This window comes from Homo sapiens, chromosome 22 (genome assembly GCF_000001405.40).
Source record: "Homo sapiens chromosome 22, GRCh38.p14 Primary Assembly".
Taxonomy (NCBI): domain Eukaryota; kingdom Metazoa; phylum Chordata; class Mammalia; order Primates; family Hominidae; genus Homo; species Homo sapiens.
In genome coordinates, this window is record NC_000022.11 from 24766573 (window position 1) to 24783692 (window position 17120).

At 45.3% G+C, this 17120-nt stretch overlaps 1 protein-coding gene across 4 annotated transcripts in view; it reads right to left on the reverse strand.

The window, feature by feature from the left end:
- The window catches only part of PIWIL3 (piwi like RNA-mediated gene silencing 3), a 55687-nt gene extending 47539 nt beyond the window's left edge, over window positions 1-8148 (reverse strand). For 3 of the 4 annotated variants that reach the window (NR_045649.2, NM_001255975.1, NM_001008496.3), the window contains exon 1: window positions 7750-8148. The gene's annotated coding sequence lies outside the window, so the exon portion shown is untranslated. Of the gene's footprint in view, window positions 1-3098; window positions 3218-7749 lie in introns of all 4 variants that reach the window. The other variant, NR_045648.1, reaches the window with a different exon arrangement.
- Window positions 8149-17120: the final 8972 nt, after the last annotated feature.

Consider the following 17120-nt stretch of genomic DNA (forward strand, 5'->3'; position numbering starts at 1 on the left):
CAGCCTTCCAAAGTGCTGGGATTACAGGCGTGAGCCACCGCGCCTGGCCTAGCCTAGATATTTTTTAAAAATCACCAATTCTTTAATATTTTATCACAGTTACATCCAGATCCTTGATGTACACATTGAATGCCTGTCAATTATGAGAGAAATAGTTAGTTATCTGGCACGGTTTCTTAACTAATCTTTGTCTTACTGCTTTGAAATTGCACCATTATCCTATAGAAATCTGCATGCGTTCTCAGCTTGAATTCCAGACTCAGTTGTGCACTGTTGGCCAGGCACAGAGTTTCATGCCTGTAATCCCAGCACTTTGGGAGGCTGAGGCAGGAGGATTGCTTGAGCCCAGTAGTTCAAGACTAGCCGGGGCAACATCAAGACACCGTCTCTAAAAAAAAAAAAAATTAAAAAATTAACTAGGATGGTGGTGCACACCTGTAGTCCCTGGTGCTTGGGAGGTTGAGGCAGGAGGACAGGAGGATCGCTTGAGCCTGGGAGTTCAAGGCTGCAGTGGACTATGATCATACCACTGCACTCCAGCCCGGGTGACAGAGTGAGACTCTGTCTCAAAAAATTCTGCACTGTCTATGGTGCAGCAGTAACTATTTGTTTACTACATCTTGAAAATATCCTAAAGATTTGAAAAGCCTGAACCTGCTAAGCACTTGAAAATTCCTGGCCAGCTGGGCGGGGTGACTCAGGCCTGCAATCCCAGCACTTTGGGAGGCTGAGGTGGGCGGATAACCTGAGGTCAGGAGTTCGAGACCAGCCTGGACAACATGGTGAAACCCCGTCTCTACTAAAAAAAATAAATAAATAAATAAATAAATTAGCCAGGTGTGGTGATGTGTGCCTGTAATCCCAGCTACTTGGGAGACTGAGGCAGGAGAATTGCTTGAACCTGGCAGGTGGAGGTTGCAGTGAGCTGAGATCGAGCCATTGCACTCCAGCCTGGGCAACAAAGGCGAAACTCTGTCTCAAAAAAAAAAAAGGGCAAAGAGAAAAAGGAATAAAAAGACAAAGCAGAATACGTCCCAAGAACTGGGATAACTATAAAAGGTGTAACATGCATAATGGGAATATCATAAGGAAAGAAAGAGAGAAAGGAACAGGAGAAGTATTTGAAATAATAATGACCGAAAATTTTCCAAAATTAAAAACAGAATTAAATCACAGATCCAGGAAGTTCATAGAACACTAAGCAAGATAAATACCAAAAATTATACTCTAGGCATAATATTCAAACTGAAAGGACAGTGACTTGCCCAAGGTCACACAGTCAGCAAGTGACAGAAGTGGGATTAGAAGGCAAGCCTACCTATCCCCAGAGCCAACCTCCTTTGCCCCTCACCTGGGTTCATCCCCAAGCTCACAGGCCAAAAGCCTGCAAACTGAGTCAGGAAAGAAAAATTCCTGTCCATCATTTCTCACTCTGGGGAAGGAAGGTAAAAAGAGTGCTCACATTCACTGTCAGGTCTGATAGACTCTCCTGCAACTACTTTTCTGAGGACAAATTGCTGTTTCCAATGGCTGATGGCTTCATCAGTGCAAAACTCTTATTGGGGACTGCACAGAGCTGACATTTGCCACTGTTTTGTGACCATCACAAAAAGAATCCTATATTTTGTTTTCCCTTTTTCTTTTTTTGTTGTTGTTTTTTGTTGTTGTTGTTTGTTTTTTGTGTTTTTTTTTTCTTGAGATGGAGTCTTGCTCTGTTGCCCAGGCTGGAGTGAGTGCAGTGACACAATCTCGGCTCACTGCAACCTCCACCTCCCAAGTTCAAGTGATTCTCCTGCCTCAGCCTCCCAAGTAGCTGGGATTACAGAGGACACCACCATGCCCGGCTAATTTTTGTATTTTTAGTAGGGACAGGGTTTCACCATCTTGGCCAGGATGGTCTTGAACTCCTGACCTCGTGATCCACCCGCCTCAGCATCCCAAAATGCTGGGATTACAGGCGTGAGCCCCCACGCCTGGCCTGTTTTCCCTTTTTCATTCTGCAGACATCAAAGGAAAACAAGAAGCAGGAAGGTCTGTGGCTGACAGCAATGTCTCCCTCAGCCCTTACCTCTATGGGTGACAGGGCCAAAGCCTCACTGTCCTGCCAGCCACTGTGAACAGACAGCATTCTCTGCCCCAAGAACGCAACTCTGCAGGTGGAGGAGGCCCAAGGAGAGAGATTTCATTTTCTGTTCCTCTTCTAGGGGCTGACAGCTTGGACAATAGTTTCTCAGAAACAAACTTTATTCTCAAGGAGATGAGCATGTCTGAGCCTGGAATGTTTATGTGAACAAATATGGTTTTTCTCCCTGCTCCAGCCTCAGCCTTGGCCATGAGACAAGGTTTCCTCTTCACCATCTGTGGAAGGCTCATTTTTGTTCCATGGGCTCAGCTTGTCTGTGCCTGGGACAAAGAGCCGCAAGGTGGTGCTATTGTCTTAGGTTAATAAAAACGAGGCCAACTATACAGTCCTCCTTGGGTATCCACAGGGATTGGTTCCACAGTCTACCGCTGATACCAAAATCTGTGGATGCTCAAGTCCCTGATACAAAATGGTGTTGTATTTGTATACATCCTATGCACATCCTCCTGTATACCTTTAAATCATCACTAGATTATTTATGATACCTAATACCATGTAAATACTTTGTAAGTAGTTGTTATGTTGTGTTGTTTAAAGCAGGAATGTCCAATCTTTTGACTTCCCCGGGCCACATTGGAAGAATTGTTTTGGGCTACACATAAAATACACTAACACGGCCAGGCGCCATAGTTCATGCCTATAATCCCAGCAGCTTGGGAGGCCGAGGCGGGTGGATCACAAGGTCAGGAGATCGAGACCATACTAGCTAACATGGTGAAACCCCCTCTCTACTAAAAATATAAAAAATTAGCCAGGTGTGGTGGCGGGCACCTGTAGTCCCAGCTACTTGGGAGGCTGAGGCAGGAGAATGGCGTGGACCTGGGAGGCAGAGCTTGCAGTGAGCCGAGATCGTGCCATTGCACTCCAGCCTGGGAGACGGAGCGAGACTCCGTCTGAAAAACAAAAACAAACAAACAAACAAAAAACAAAATTAGCTGGGCATGTTAGCACACACCTGTAATCCCAGCTACTTGGGAGGCTGAGGCAGAAGAATCGCTTGAATCCTGGAGAGAGAGGTTGCAGTGAGTCGAGATTGTGCCACCGCACTCTGGCCTGGGCAACAACGGCAAAACTCTGTCTCAAAAATAATAATAATAATAATAATAAATACACCAATACTAATGATAGCTGATGAGCTAAAAGAAAAAAAAATCCCCAAAATATCTCATAATGTTTTAAGAAAGTTTACGAAATTCAAAGCCACATTCTAAGCTGTCCTGGGCCACATGAGACCTGTGGGGCTGTGGGTTGGACAAGCTTGGTTTAAAGGATAATGACAAAAAAAAGTGTTTGTATATGTTCAGTTGGTTGTTTGAATCCACAGATGCAGAACCCATGGATACAGAGAACCAACTGTATACTAACTGCTGCAGCTTGTTGAGCCACCCTGCTAAGCGCTTTATGTAGATCAAAGCATTTCATCGTAACAGCTTTGTGAAGGGGGCAGTGAAGCACAGAGGGATGAACCCGCTTACCCAAGGTCACACAGCTAGCAAGTATTGAAGGCAAGACTCAAACCCGTCAGTTTTCCATAGTAAAAGTGTCAGTATGACGACATCAACTGTCCCTGCCTGGACAGAGCCATAGGTTTTTCTGAAGTATGTCCTTCTTACTCTTTAGGCGTTAATATGACTGAGCAGCTCAGCTTCAAAATACATTTTTAACTATTTTTATTTTAATTTTTGTAGCCTTAGCCTTGAAATGTATTTGAAACCCTTTTTTTCACTCTCTTCCCCCCAGACACTCCTTGTACCATGGTAGCTTATCTAATTATGTGCCTTTTTAGAAATTCCAGGGGAGGCTAATTTGAAAATAAACCAAGCATGGCCAGGCACAGTGGCTCATGCCTGTAATCTCAGCACTTTGGGAAGCTGAGGCGGGTGGATCACCTGAGGTCAGGAGTTCGAGACCAGCCTGGCCGACATGGTGAAACCCCGTCTCTACTAAAAAAAAAAAAAAAAAAACAAAAATTAGCCGGGCATGGTGGCAGGCACCTGTAATACCAGCTACTAGGGAGGCTGAGGCAGGAGAATTGCTTGAACCCAAGGGGTGGAGGTTGCAGTGAGCCAAGATCGCACCACTGCATTCCAGCTTGGGTGATGGAGAGAGACTCCATCTCAAAAAAATAATAATAATAAATAAATAAAAAGAAAGAAAGAAAAATAAACCAAGCATGAAGACCCAGCTACAGAATTCTCCCCTACCTAGGGGGATGGTCTCGAGGAGGATAAGCTACACCTCAGCCAGACATGATGGCACCCACCTGTGCTCCAGGGGGACAATAACTCAAAATAGCCACCGGGAGAAGACACATAGACCCTGTACCCTTCACCACCCCTGCGTGCTCCCCATGCCAAGTTTCCCTTTTTAAACCCTTTCACTCAGCCCTAAAACTTAAAATGGTCTCTTGGAGGCATGAGCCTGGTCATTTCCTAGCTGCTAACATTTAAAGAAAGTTACTTTCCGGCCGGGCGCGGTGGCTGATGCCTGTAATCCCAACACTTTGGGAGGCTGAGGCGAGCGAATCATGAGGTCAGGAGATCGAGACCATCCTGGCTACCACGATGAAACCCCGTCTCTACTAAAAACACAAAAATAGAAAAAGAAAAAAAGTTAGCCAGGCATGGTGGCGGGCGCCTGTAGTCCCAGCTACTTGGGAGGCTGAGGCAGGAGAATGGCGTGAACCTGGGAGGAGGAGCTTTTGTGAGCCAAGATCACACCACTGCACTCCAGCCTGGGCGACAGTGCAAGACTCCATCTCAAAAAAAAAAAAAAAAAAGAAAGTTACTTTCCTTTCAGCACACTTCACTTCTTGCATTTTGGATCCTGACTGGTGAGCAGCCAGACTTGTGTTCAGTTACATTAAGATGGCCTTTCTTTTAGAAAATAATGGAGACAGTGGATGTGTGAGGTTTTCTTGTCCTTCATAACCAACATTTCAAAAGTTGCTATTCTATAATTTTTTATTTCCAATTTTCAGGCCCAAAAGATTCAGGATTGAAGACTATTTCTCTCTCTTGCCCTCTTTTTTTTTTGGAGACAGAGTCTTGCCCTGTCGCCCAGGCTGGAGTGCAATGGCATGATTTTGGCTCACTGCAACCTCCACCTCCCCGGTTCAAGCAATTCTCCTTCCTCATGCCCGGCTAATTTTTGTATCGTTAGTAGAGACGGGGTTTCACCATGTTGGCCAGGCTGGTCTCTTACTCCTGACCTCGTGATCCACCTGCATTGGCCTCCCAAAGTGCTGGGATTACAGGCGTTGAGTCACTGTGCCCGGCCTATTTCTCTTAATGAACAAGCTATAGTGCTCAGTTGGCCAACAGAACTGTGTTGGTAGCCTACTCTTACTGGAATACATTCGATAACACAGTGTATATCATAAATGCACCAAACAGTAAGAATTATTATCATATCAAAAGCAGCAATTACAAAAGAAGCAGTGTTAAATTTTAAACAGAATGAAAGATTAAACCCTTAGATTTGATAATCATATTAATAAAGAGAAGTAAATCTTATCAATATAAGTATTAAGTACTAAGTAGTTGTATATTTCACAATGTAAGTAAATCTTATATTGAAGGAATAAAGTCTGCATAATAGGAGCTCATTAAATAGCAACTTCTATGAGCAACAGGACAATATTATGTCCCTGGCATTTGGACTTAGACAAAAACCTTTGTGGAATCATAGCCTGTCCAGGTATGTGCTGTGTGACCCTGAGCAGGTGATATCATCTCTCTGAGACCCTGTTTCCTAGTATGTTGGGTATTGAAAACTTATGTCACAGGGGCCTGTGGGGGTTACAGGAGCCAATCTGTGCAAAGAGCTCAGCAGGTGCTGAGTGCTCAGCAAGTTACAGCTACTGGAGTTAAAATCACTACCACAGTGGAGAAGAGCCCTGGCAAAGGCTGCAGTCTCCATTCTACCCACTGGGAAATCCGAACGGCTGACCAGCTCCCCTGTCTTTCCCAAACTAGGATCCCAGGAATTAGAAATGGTGGTGCTTAGGTGGGTGCACAGCAGCATCTAGTGGACTAGAAGGAGAACTGAAGAAGTGTCACAATGACATCGGGAAGAGAAAGTTTTAAGGCTGGGGAAAAGGTTGGCAGAGAAGTCAGGAAGGAGGCCTGCATGTGCCGGGTGTCCCCTGTGGGGAGATCAGATGAGGTACCTTAACAGTTATCTGGACCTCAAGCCCCCATGTGCTAGCTGAGGGCGTCCTTCTCCCTCCCCAGGCCTCCCTGGGTGCTGGGTCTCTGGGTCCTATGGGCTCAGGGGCCCATCTTTTTCAAGTTCTGCTCCACGTGTCTGTGTCCAGCTGAGGGCACTGACCCCACTGCCCCAGTCCCCAGGGCTTAGATGCCAGGACAGTAGAAAGCTGTGTGCCAGGGCATAACCAAGGTGTCCTCCACTGCTCTGGGCCACACATTGGCAGCTGGGCCCTGTGTCCCTCTGACACCGGATCCTAGGGTTTCTGGCTCTGCCATCTCTGCTGTGATGCTCCATTCCAACCATGTGGCTCAGCAGGGAGGGCATTACACACTGTCCCTTCCCCCTTTTCCATACTCCTGCCTTCCTGCATGCCCTGCACAGGAACCCTCTTCCCTTCTCCTTTTGCCAAAAGAATTCAGAAGATACCAACTTTCTCCTCTTTTCCTGTCTGCAGTGGAGGTCCCGGCAGGACCCCCTCCTGAGCTGTGAGGGTTAAATGGGAGAAGGTGTATTGAGCTTGAAGCACTGGCAGGTCCCACAACGAATGCTCAAAAAATGGAAGCCTCTGCCACCATCTGCATCATCCCCATCAACCACAGGAGCAAAGAGCCCGCCTTTTCTGAGAAGAGCATTTACATATTGATAGAAATTCCGCGGTTTTATTTATCATCACGTCAGTTTTAAGGATGTAAGTAGGTACACATATACATATGTATCTAAAATATATTAAGTTTTTAAAAGTAGGTTATTAAAGGATATGTACAAGACACTCTAGATTTTTTTTTTTTTTTTTTTTTTTTGAGATGGGAGTCTCACTCACTCTGTTGCCCAGGCTGGAGTACAGTGGTGCGATCTTGGCTCACTGCAACCTCCGCCTCCCAGGTTCAAGCAATCCTCCTGCCTCAGCCTCCCAAGTAGCTGGGACTACAGGCACCCGCCACTGCGCCCAGTTAATTTTGGTATTTTTCGTAGAGACGGGGTTTCACCATCTTGGCCAGGCTGGTCTTGAACTCCTGACCTCATGGTCCAGCCGCCTCAGCCTCCCAAAGTGCTGGGATTACAGGCATGAGCCACTGTGGCTGACCAAGATGCTCTAGATTTTTAAAATAAATATACATACTCCACATGCTCAAATATAAGCTGAATCTGTAACCCAGCAGCTTAGCAGCCTAACCTCAAACCGCATTTTAAAACTTTTTTTCCTTTCCCCTTTCCTCTCTTCTGCTAATCTGAAGATGTAACTTAGACAAAGTATAGACGTGTTTCCTCTCCTCTTGAAATCCAGCCTTGGAATGTGCTGTGAACCTCCACCCCCTTTCTTTTCCTGTTCTATGCCCCCATGCCTTATGCACATTTATTTACCTAGTTGTTTGGTAAGCACACACCATACTCACTTATCTGGTCACATATTTCCTTAGAAGCTTCAGTAGTCAGATCCTGATACGAACCATGCACCTCCTCCAGCCATGATGACGCCGGCCACTTCCACAGATGGAAAAATAATTCAGGACAAGCCACTGGAGGGGGTCACACCACCTGACACCTCCCAGTCCCCCTGCCTCTTTTGCCTTCCAAATCCTCCCTTTAAAAACCGCTTTGGCCGGGCGCGGTGGCTCACGCCTGTAATCCCAGCACTTTGGCAGGCTGAGGCGGGTAGATCATGAGGTCAGGAGATGGAGACCATCCTGGCTAACACAGTGAAACCCTATCTCTACTAAAAATACAAAAAATTAGCCGGGCGTGGTGGCGGGCACCTGTAGTCCCAGCTACTCGGGAGGCTGAGGCAGCAAAATGGCGTGAACCCGGGAGGCGGAGCTTGCAGTGAGCCGAGATCACGCCACTGCACTCCAGCCCGGGTGAAAGAGTGAGACTCTGTCTCAAAAAATAAACAAATAAATAAATATCTTAAAAAATAAAATAAAATAAATAAAAACCCCTGCGTTCATCCGAGCGCAGTGGCTCACGTCTGTAATCGCAGCACTTTGGGAGGTCAAGGCCGGAGGATCACGAGGTCAGGAGATGGAGACCATCCTGACTAACGCGGGGAAACCCCGTCTCTACTAAAAATACAAAAAATCAGCTGGGCATGGTGGCATGTGCCTGTAGTCCCAGCAACTCGGGAGGCTGAGGCAGGAGAATCGCTTGAACTCAGAAGGCGGAGGTTGCAGTGAGCTGAGATTGCGCCACTGCACTCCAGCCAGATTGGGCGACAGAGCAAGACACCGTCGCAAAAAACAAACAAAAAAAACCCCTGCGTTCTTTCCTCACGTGGAAGAGTGGAATTGCTCTCTGCTCTTGCCCTTGCTAGCATAGATTATAAAATTCTTTCTTTTTAAATCACATGTCATTATCATTTTGACTTCTTTCTACAAGCAGTGAGCAGCTGGGCCCTTTTGCTGGTTACAACATGAGTGACTGGGGCAAATACATCAATCAAGGTTTATCAAGCCAGATTTAGGTTGTTTCTGGGAAAAACACGAGCCAAACATGCACCTGTGGCTATTTTTCTGAAAAGGTTTTTCAGGAGATTTCCTATTTTTTTTAAGAAACTTTATTTTATTTTATTTTATTTATATCTCTATGTATTTATTGAGATGGAGTCTCGTTCTGTCGTCCAGGCTAGAGTGCAGTGATGTGATCTCTGCTCACTGCAGCCTTCGCCTCCCGGGTTCAGGCGATTCTCCTGACTCAGCCTCCTGAGTAGCTGGGATTACAGGTGCATGCCACCACACCAGGCTAATTTTTGTATTTTCAGTAGAGACGGGGTTTCATGATATTGGCCAGGCTGATCTCAAACTTCTGACCTCAAGTGATCCACCCACCTTGGGATTACAGGCGTGAGCCACCATGCCCAGTCGGGGATCAGAGTTTTTAAAAATGATTTGGTGGGTATGGGCTCAGGAAGTAGGGAGTGCTTATTGGTCGGGTTGGAGATGGAATCATGGGGGTGGAAGTGAGTTCTTGCTGATTTCTCTTCCTGGATGAGATCGCAGGACTGGTTGAGCCAGATTATCAGTCTGGGTGGTGTCATCTGCTGCATCGGAATTCAGGGTATGCAAAATATCTCAAGCACTGATCTTAAGTTTTGCAACGGAGATTTTATTCCCAGAAGCAACTTGGGGAGGTTCAGACTCTTGCGGCCAGAAGCTGCATGGCCCCTAAGCCGTAATCTCTCATCTTGTAGCTAATTTGTTAGTCCTACAAAGGCAGGACAGTTCCCCACGCAAGAAGCGTCTTTTTTTCAGGAAAGGACTATTATCAGTTTTGTTTCAGAATTTAAACTATAAACAATTCTTCCCCAAGACTAGTTTGGCCTATGCCCAGGAATGAACAAAGACAGCTTAGGCGTTAGAAGCAAGGTGTGGTCGGTTAGGTCTGATCTGTTTCACTGTCATAATTTTCTCAGTTATGAGTTTTGCAAAGGCCCTTTCAATGGGGTGACTATAGTAAGTTAATTTTCCTCCTCTTTCTTCTGGTTTACCCAAGGGCATGTGGAGTCATAGAACTGTCCAGCAGGCACTGAAAGTAAAAAGTCTGTGATAAACCACCTAAATTTCTAGCTAGGCTAGTGGGAAAGGGGTCTCCTGCACATCAAGGAGTAAGGGGATCATCCTTGGTTTGTTTTGTTTTTATCTCCCCAGTTGCAAAGCTGTCCTGCAGCCTCAGCAATGGCAGAGGGACCTAAAGCCCTGAGAAATCACTTGGCTCACTGGGCAGAGGAAAAGGAAAGAGACTTCTGCATCTGAAAAGTATAGGGGAAATCTCTTTTTGTTTCTTCCTGTACTTCACTTGAAAGGCTGACCTAGACGCGTGTAACTGCACAGCAGCACGGGTGCTGCAACACTGATAGGAGCATGAAAACGGAACCCTGCAGAATCCTGCAGAGGAGAAAGCTAAAGGGGATCACTTAAATGGATGTATGAATTAACATAAGTCCTAGGATCACCCTGAACTATGCATGCACAGAAGCAGAGCAAGGGTTTTGAGAAACGAACTATAATATAAACCACCACTCAACTCCCAGATTTACCCAAGTGGATACACCAGCATAGCAAAGGCTTGAAAACTGCACTGAGACTGGAACAACTGTCAAAGAAAACAGGACAGGGCTGGGCACGGTGGCTCACACCTGTAATCCCAGCACTTTGGGAGGCCAAGGTGGGCAGATCACGAGGTCAGGAGTTCAAGACCAGCCTGGCCAACATAGTGAAACCCCGTCTCTACTAAAAATACAAAAAATTAGCCAGGCGTGGTGGCGGGCGCCTGTAATCCCAGCTACTTGGGAGGCTGAGGCAAGTGAATCGCTTGAACCCAGGAGGTGGAGGTTGCAGTGAGCTGAGATTGAGCCATTGCACTCCAGCCCAGGTGACAGTGTGAGACTCCGTCTCAAAAAAAAAAAAAAAAAAAAAAGAAAAGAAAACAAGACAGAATATGTGGTTTAACCTAAACTATGTTGAATGCTCAATACGACAACAATAACAACAACAAAATGAACATTTCTCTGGCAGATTTTAGTAAGAACCAGAATCTCACAATATAATAAGCAAACTGTCCAGGATACTCTCCAAAATTATGCGGTAGAACATAAGACAAATCTGACCAACTCTCAAGGGAAAAGATAATCAAAAATCCGGCCTTGAAAGACCCACATGAAGGGACAATTTATGCTTTAATCAGAAGTTTGGTTAAAATTTAATTCTAGTTAAAGTTATAATTAGATTTAAAATTTAGAGGGAAAACATCTATTATAACCATTCTCAAAAAAATAAAATAAAGGTAGTACTCTTTTTTTTTTTAAGACAGAGTCTTGCTCTGTCACCCAGGCTGGAGTGCAGTGGTGTGATCTCAGCTCACTGCAAGCTCCACCTCCCGGGTTCAAGCAATTCTCCTGTCTCAGCCTCCTGAGTAGCTGGAGCTACAGGCGCCCGCCACCACGCCCAGCTAATTTTTTGTGTTTTTAGTAGAGACGGGTTTTCACCGTGTTAGCCAGGATGGTCTCGATCTCCTTACATTATGATCCGCCCGCCTCGGCCTCCCAAAGTGCTGGGATTACAGGGGTGAGCCACCGCGCCCGGCCTAAGTACTCTTAAAATTAATGGAAAGCTACAAGTCTTCATCAGAAGAGAAGAAATTATAAAAAAGAAGCAAATGGAAATCTTAAATGCATATGCAACATCTAAAATGAAAAATGTACTGATTCAACTCAATTATAGACTGGAGAAAAAAATCAGTGAAATTGAAGATATGTAAATAGAAATGATACAATATGACGAACAAAGAAATAAAGATTGAGGAGTAATTCTCTGAACCTCAGAGATGTGTGGGACACTATCAAAATTTCTTTTTTTTTTTTTTTGAGACGGAGTCTCGCTCTGTCACCCAATCTGGAATGCAGTGGCGCCATCTTGGCTCACTGGAAACTCCGCCTCCCAGGTTCACCCCATTCTCCTGCCTCAGCCTACCGAGTAGCTGGGACTGCAGGCGCCCGCCACCACGCCCGGCTAATTTTTTTTGTATTTTTAGTAGAGACGGGGTTTCACCATGTTAGCCAGAATGGTCTCGATCTCCTGACATCATGATCCGCCCGCCTCGGCCTCCCAAAGTGCTGGGATTACAGGCGTGACCCACCGCGCCTGGCCTACTATCAAAATTTCTAACATTCTGCCCATTGGAGTGCCTGAAAGAAGAACTTGATGCAGAATAAATTGAGGGGAAATTGACTGAAAACCTCCCAAACTTGTGAAACATAGATCCAAGAAGCTCAGAAAACCCTCACCCTGCTAGATTATAACAACCTAAACTAAAGAAAAAAGTCTAGAAAACAGAGGGGGGAAATGACACGTTATACACGAGGAAATTACAATATGAATGCTTGTGATTTCTCAGAAAGATGCCAGAAGAAAGCAGAACCACATTTTTAAATGTTGAAAAAGAGCATTGGCCGGGTACGGTGGCTCATGCCTGTAATCTCAGCACTTTGCGAGGCTGAGGCAGGTGGATCATGAGGTCAGGAGTTTGAGACCAGCCTGACCAACATGGTGAAACCCTGTCTCTACTAAAAATACAAAAATTAGCTGGGCATGGTGATGGGTGCCTGTAATCCCAGCTACTCAGGAAACTGAGGCAGGAGAATCACTTGAACCCGGGAGGCAGAAGTTGCAGTGAGCTGAGATCGCGCCACTGCACTCCAGCCTGGGCAACAGAGCAAGACTCTGTCTCAAAAAAAAAAAAAAGAAAGAAAGAAAAAAGAAAAAGAGAACTATCAACCCAAGATACCATATGCAGCAAAAATATCCTTAAAGATTGAAAGAGGAAAAGGAAAAAGAAAAAGAATGAATGACATGGAGATGGGAATAAAACTAAGAGACTTCATCACTGGACAACTTACTCTAACATTATGTGAAAGAAGTACAAACGGACTGAAATGAAATTAGATAGGCAGGAAGCTTGGAACTACAGGAATAAAGTAAGAGCAAGAGAAATGGTACATATATGTGTAAATGTGATACCCTATTTTTCTCCTCTTAATTTTTTTTTTTTTTTTTTTTGAGACAGAGTCTCACTCTTGTCACCCAGACTGGAGTGCAGTAGTGTGATCTGGGCTCACTGCAACCTCTGCCTCCTGGGTTCAAGCAATTCTCCTGCCTCAGCCTCCTGAGTAGCTGGGATTACAGGTGCCTGCCACCACACCTAGCTAATCTTTGTAGCTTTTTTTTTTTTTTTTGGTAGAGACAGGGTTTCACTATGTTGGCCAGGCTAGTCTCGAACTCCTGACCTCAAGTGATCCGCCCGCCTCAGCCTCCCAAAGTGTTGAGATTACAGACATGAGCCTCCATGCCCGGCCTTAAATTCTTGACTATAAGTAAGACTTGTGACAACAAAAATTATAGTACCATCTCAGAGGGCAGCGTTCAAATATGCAGATGTGGCACATAGGACAACTGTAACAAAGAGTGAAGGGTGTCAGCATCCATGTGGCCATTAGGTGACTACATTTTACTTGAATTGGTAAATTATTAACTCTAATTAGAAGGTGAAAGGTTTGGTAAATATACTGTTATTCCCATAACAACTAAATACAATTACAAACTCACCCCCCAAAATTATGGAACCTCAATAGCTCTATATCCAGGAGATATGAATAAAGCAGCTAAAATATTCACATACAGGTTTTTGTGTGAAAATAAGTTTGATTTCTCTTGCTTAAGTACCTTGAAGTGAAATTGCTGGGTCATACAGTAAATACATCTCTCCCAACCTGCCTCCACAGGATTGGGTTAGCACCTGCACTTCTGTTCTTAGAGGCTCTTCCCTCTGGTATTCTTGGGGGAAAAACCAGATGGATACACAGATGGCTCACTTCAAAGTTGCCATATTTTGGCCAGGCGTGGTGGCTCACGCCTGTAATCCCAGCACTTTGGGAGGCCGAGGCGGGTGGATGACGAGGTCAGGAGATCGAGACCACGGTGAAACCCCGTCTCTGCTAAAAATACAAAAAAAATTGGCCGGGCGTGGTGGCAGGCACCTGTAGTCCCAGCTACTCGGGAGGCTGAGGCAGGAGAATGGTGTGAACCTGGGAGGTGGAGCTTGCAGTGAGCCAAGATTGCGCCACTGCACTCCAGCCTGGGCAACAGAGCAAGACTCCGTCTTAAAAAAAAAAAAAAAAAAAGTTGCCATATTTTTCAGGGGCTGCAGAGCCTGAAGCCCAGCTCCTGAGCAACTGCCCCTCTGCTGACTTGGGGGAATCCCCATCCTGCATGGTACCCTGACACCTCAGGGGTATGTCCAGTGCAGAAAAGGGCTACTGTGCCTGACAATAACCTCTCAACCCTCATGGCAAACACCTTCAACTCTCAGCAGGAGATTCAGAGGTACCAAATAATGCACAGAGCTGAGCTATGGCCTTTGATCATGCCATTCCTTTTCCTTTTTTTTTTTTTTTCCAGATGGAGTCTTGCTCTGTCACTCAGACTGGAGTGAAGTGGCGTGATCTTGGCTCACTGCAACCTCTGCCTCCCAGTTTCAAGTGATTCTCCTGCCTCAGCCTCCTGAGTAGCTGGGATTACAGGCACACGCCACCATGCCTGGCTAGTTTTTGTATTCTTAGTAGAGATGGGGTTTCACCATGTTGGCCAGGCTGGTCTCAAACTCTTGACCTTGTGATCCACCCACCTTGGCCTCCCCAAGTGCTGGGATTACAGGCGTGAGCCACTACACCCGGCCCTGCTCATGCCATTTGTTTGCATGTCCTTTGTGCATGTCACAGTTATTGGTGCTTTTGTTACATGTATGTACCTATTCCTCATGAATTCTGTGCATACACACCCAGTCCTTGCTCGCATGTTCCAAAGATGCATCACAGAAACATCCCAAATAGTATGTGTTTTTAATTTTTCCAGGTTGGCAGCAAAAAGAAAACACTCAGAGCTCAGTTCTGCAAACCAAGGATCAGACTCTACTTGGCATAAATTTAAACTAAATTGTTATACATTTAAAATTTTAATTGTAATCCCCAGGGTAGCCACTAAAAAATAAAAATACACAAAAAAAGAAATGAGAAGGGAGCTAAAATTGCACACGACAAAAAATCAATTAAATGCAAAGGGAGGCGGCCGGGCGCGGTGGCTCATGCCTGTAATCCCAGCACTTTGGGAGGCCAAGACTGGTGAATCACGAGGTCAGGAGATCGAGACCATCCTGGCTAACATGGTGAAACCCTATCTCTATTAAAAATATACAAAAAAAATTAGCCAGGTGTGGTGGCAGGCGCCTGTAGTCCCAGCTACTCAGGAGGCTGAGGCAGGAGAATGGCACGAACCCGGGAGGCGGAGCTTGCAGTGAGCCGAGATCACGCCCCTGCACTCCAGCCTGGGAGACAGAATGAGACTCCGTCTCAAAAAAAAAAAAAAAAAAAAAAGCAAAGAGAGGCAATAATGGAGACAATGATAAATAAAAAGACATACGATATATCAGAAACAAATAGAGAAAGGTAGAAGTATGAGTAATTACTCTAAATGTAAATAGAATAAAATTTCCAATTAAAAGGCAGAGATTGAGAGAGTGGATAACAAAACATTATCTACCTACATGCTGTCTCCAAGGGATTCAGTTTATATACAAAAACGCAAATAGACTGAAAGGGAAAAGATGGAAAAGATACTCCACACAAAAGAGATTATCAACATTGCATCACAAGTTCTAGTCTGCAATTATGCAACAAAAATAAATAAAAACCATCTGGGCCAGACATGGTAGCCCTAACCTGTAATCCCAGCACTTTGGGAGGCCAAGGCGGGTGGATCACCTGAGGTCAGGAGTTTGAGACCAGCCTGGCCAACATGGTGAAACCCTGTCTCTACTAAAAATACAAAAAATTAGCCTAGCGTGGTGGCAGATGCTATAATCCCAGCTACTCAAGAGGCTGAGGCAGGAGAATTGTTTGAACCTGGGAGGCGGAGGTTGCAGTGAGCTGAGATCGCACCACTGCACTCTAGCCTGGGCAATAAGATCGAAAGTCTGTTTCAAAAAGAAAAATCTAGACTGGGCACGGTGACTCACGCCGGTAATCCCAGCACTTTGGGAGGCCGAGGCAGGCGGATCACCTGAGGTAGGGAGTTCGAGCAGCCTGACCAACATGGAGAAACACTGGATTTACTAAAAATACAAAATTAGCCAGGTACGGTGGCACATGCCTGTAATCCCAGCTACTAGGGAGGCTGAGGCAGGAGAATTGCTTGAACCTGGGAGGCGGAGGTTGCGGTGAGCTGAGATCATGCCATTACACTCCAGCCTGGGCAACAAGAGCAAAACTCCATCTCAAAAAAAAAAAAAAGGAAAAAAGAAAAAAAGAAAAATCTAAATTGGAAAAGAATAAGTAAAACTATCTTTATTCTTTTTTTATTTTTATTTTTGTCGCCCAGGCTGGAGTGCAATGGCACAATCTCGGCTCACTGCAACCTCCGCCTCCTAGGTTCAAGCAATTCTCCCACCTCAGCCTCCCGAGTAGCTGGGACTGCAGATGTCTGCCACCATGCACGGCTAATTTTTATATTTTTAGTAGAGACAGGGTTTTGTCATGTTGGCCAGGTTGGTCTCGAATTCCTGACCTCAGATGATCCACCCGCCTCGGCCTCCCGAAGTGCTGGGATTACAGGTGTGAGCCACCGCACCCAGCCAAACTATCTTTATCCTTGGATGATATGATCTTACATATGGAAAATCCTAAAGAATCCACAAAAATTATTAGAGATAATAAATCATCAAAGTTGTTGGGTACATGATTAATATTCAAAATAAGTTATTTCTGTCCACTAATAGTGAACAATCCAAAAAGATAATCCACACAAAAGATATTAGGTGTGGAGTTGGAGTATTTCTTCCATCTTTTCACTTTCAGTCTATTTGTGTCTTTGTATCTAAACTGAATCCCTTGGAGACAACATGTAGTTGGATCATGTTTTGTTATCCATCCACTCTCCCTTGAACAACTGAACAATTTTTCTTTTTTTTTTTTTGAGACAGAGTCTCGCTCTGTCGCCCAGGCTGGAGTGCAGTGGCACAATCTCGGCTCACTGCAACCTCCACCTCCCGGGTTCACGCCATTCTCCTGCCTCAGCCTCCCAAGTAGCTGGGACTACAGGCGCCCGCCACCACGCCTGGCTAATTTTTTGTATTTTTAGTAGAGACGGGGTTTCACCGTGTTAGCTAGGATGGTCTCGATCTCCTGACCTTGTGGTCCGCCCACCTCGGCCTCCCAAATGCTGGG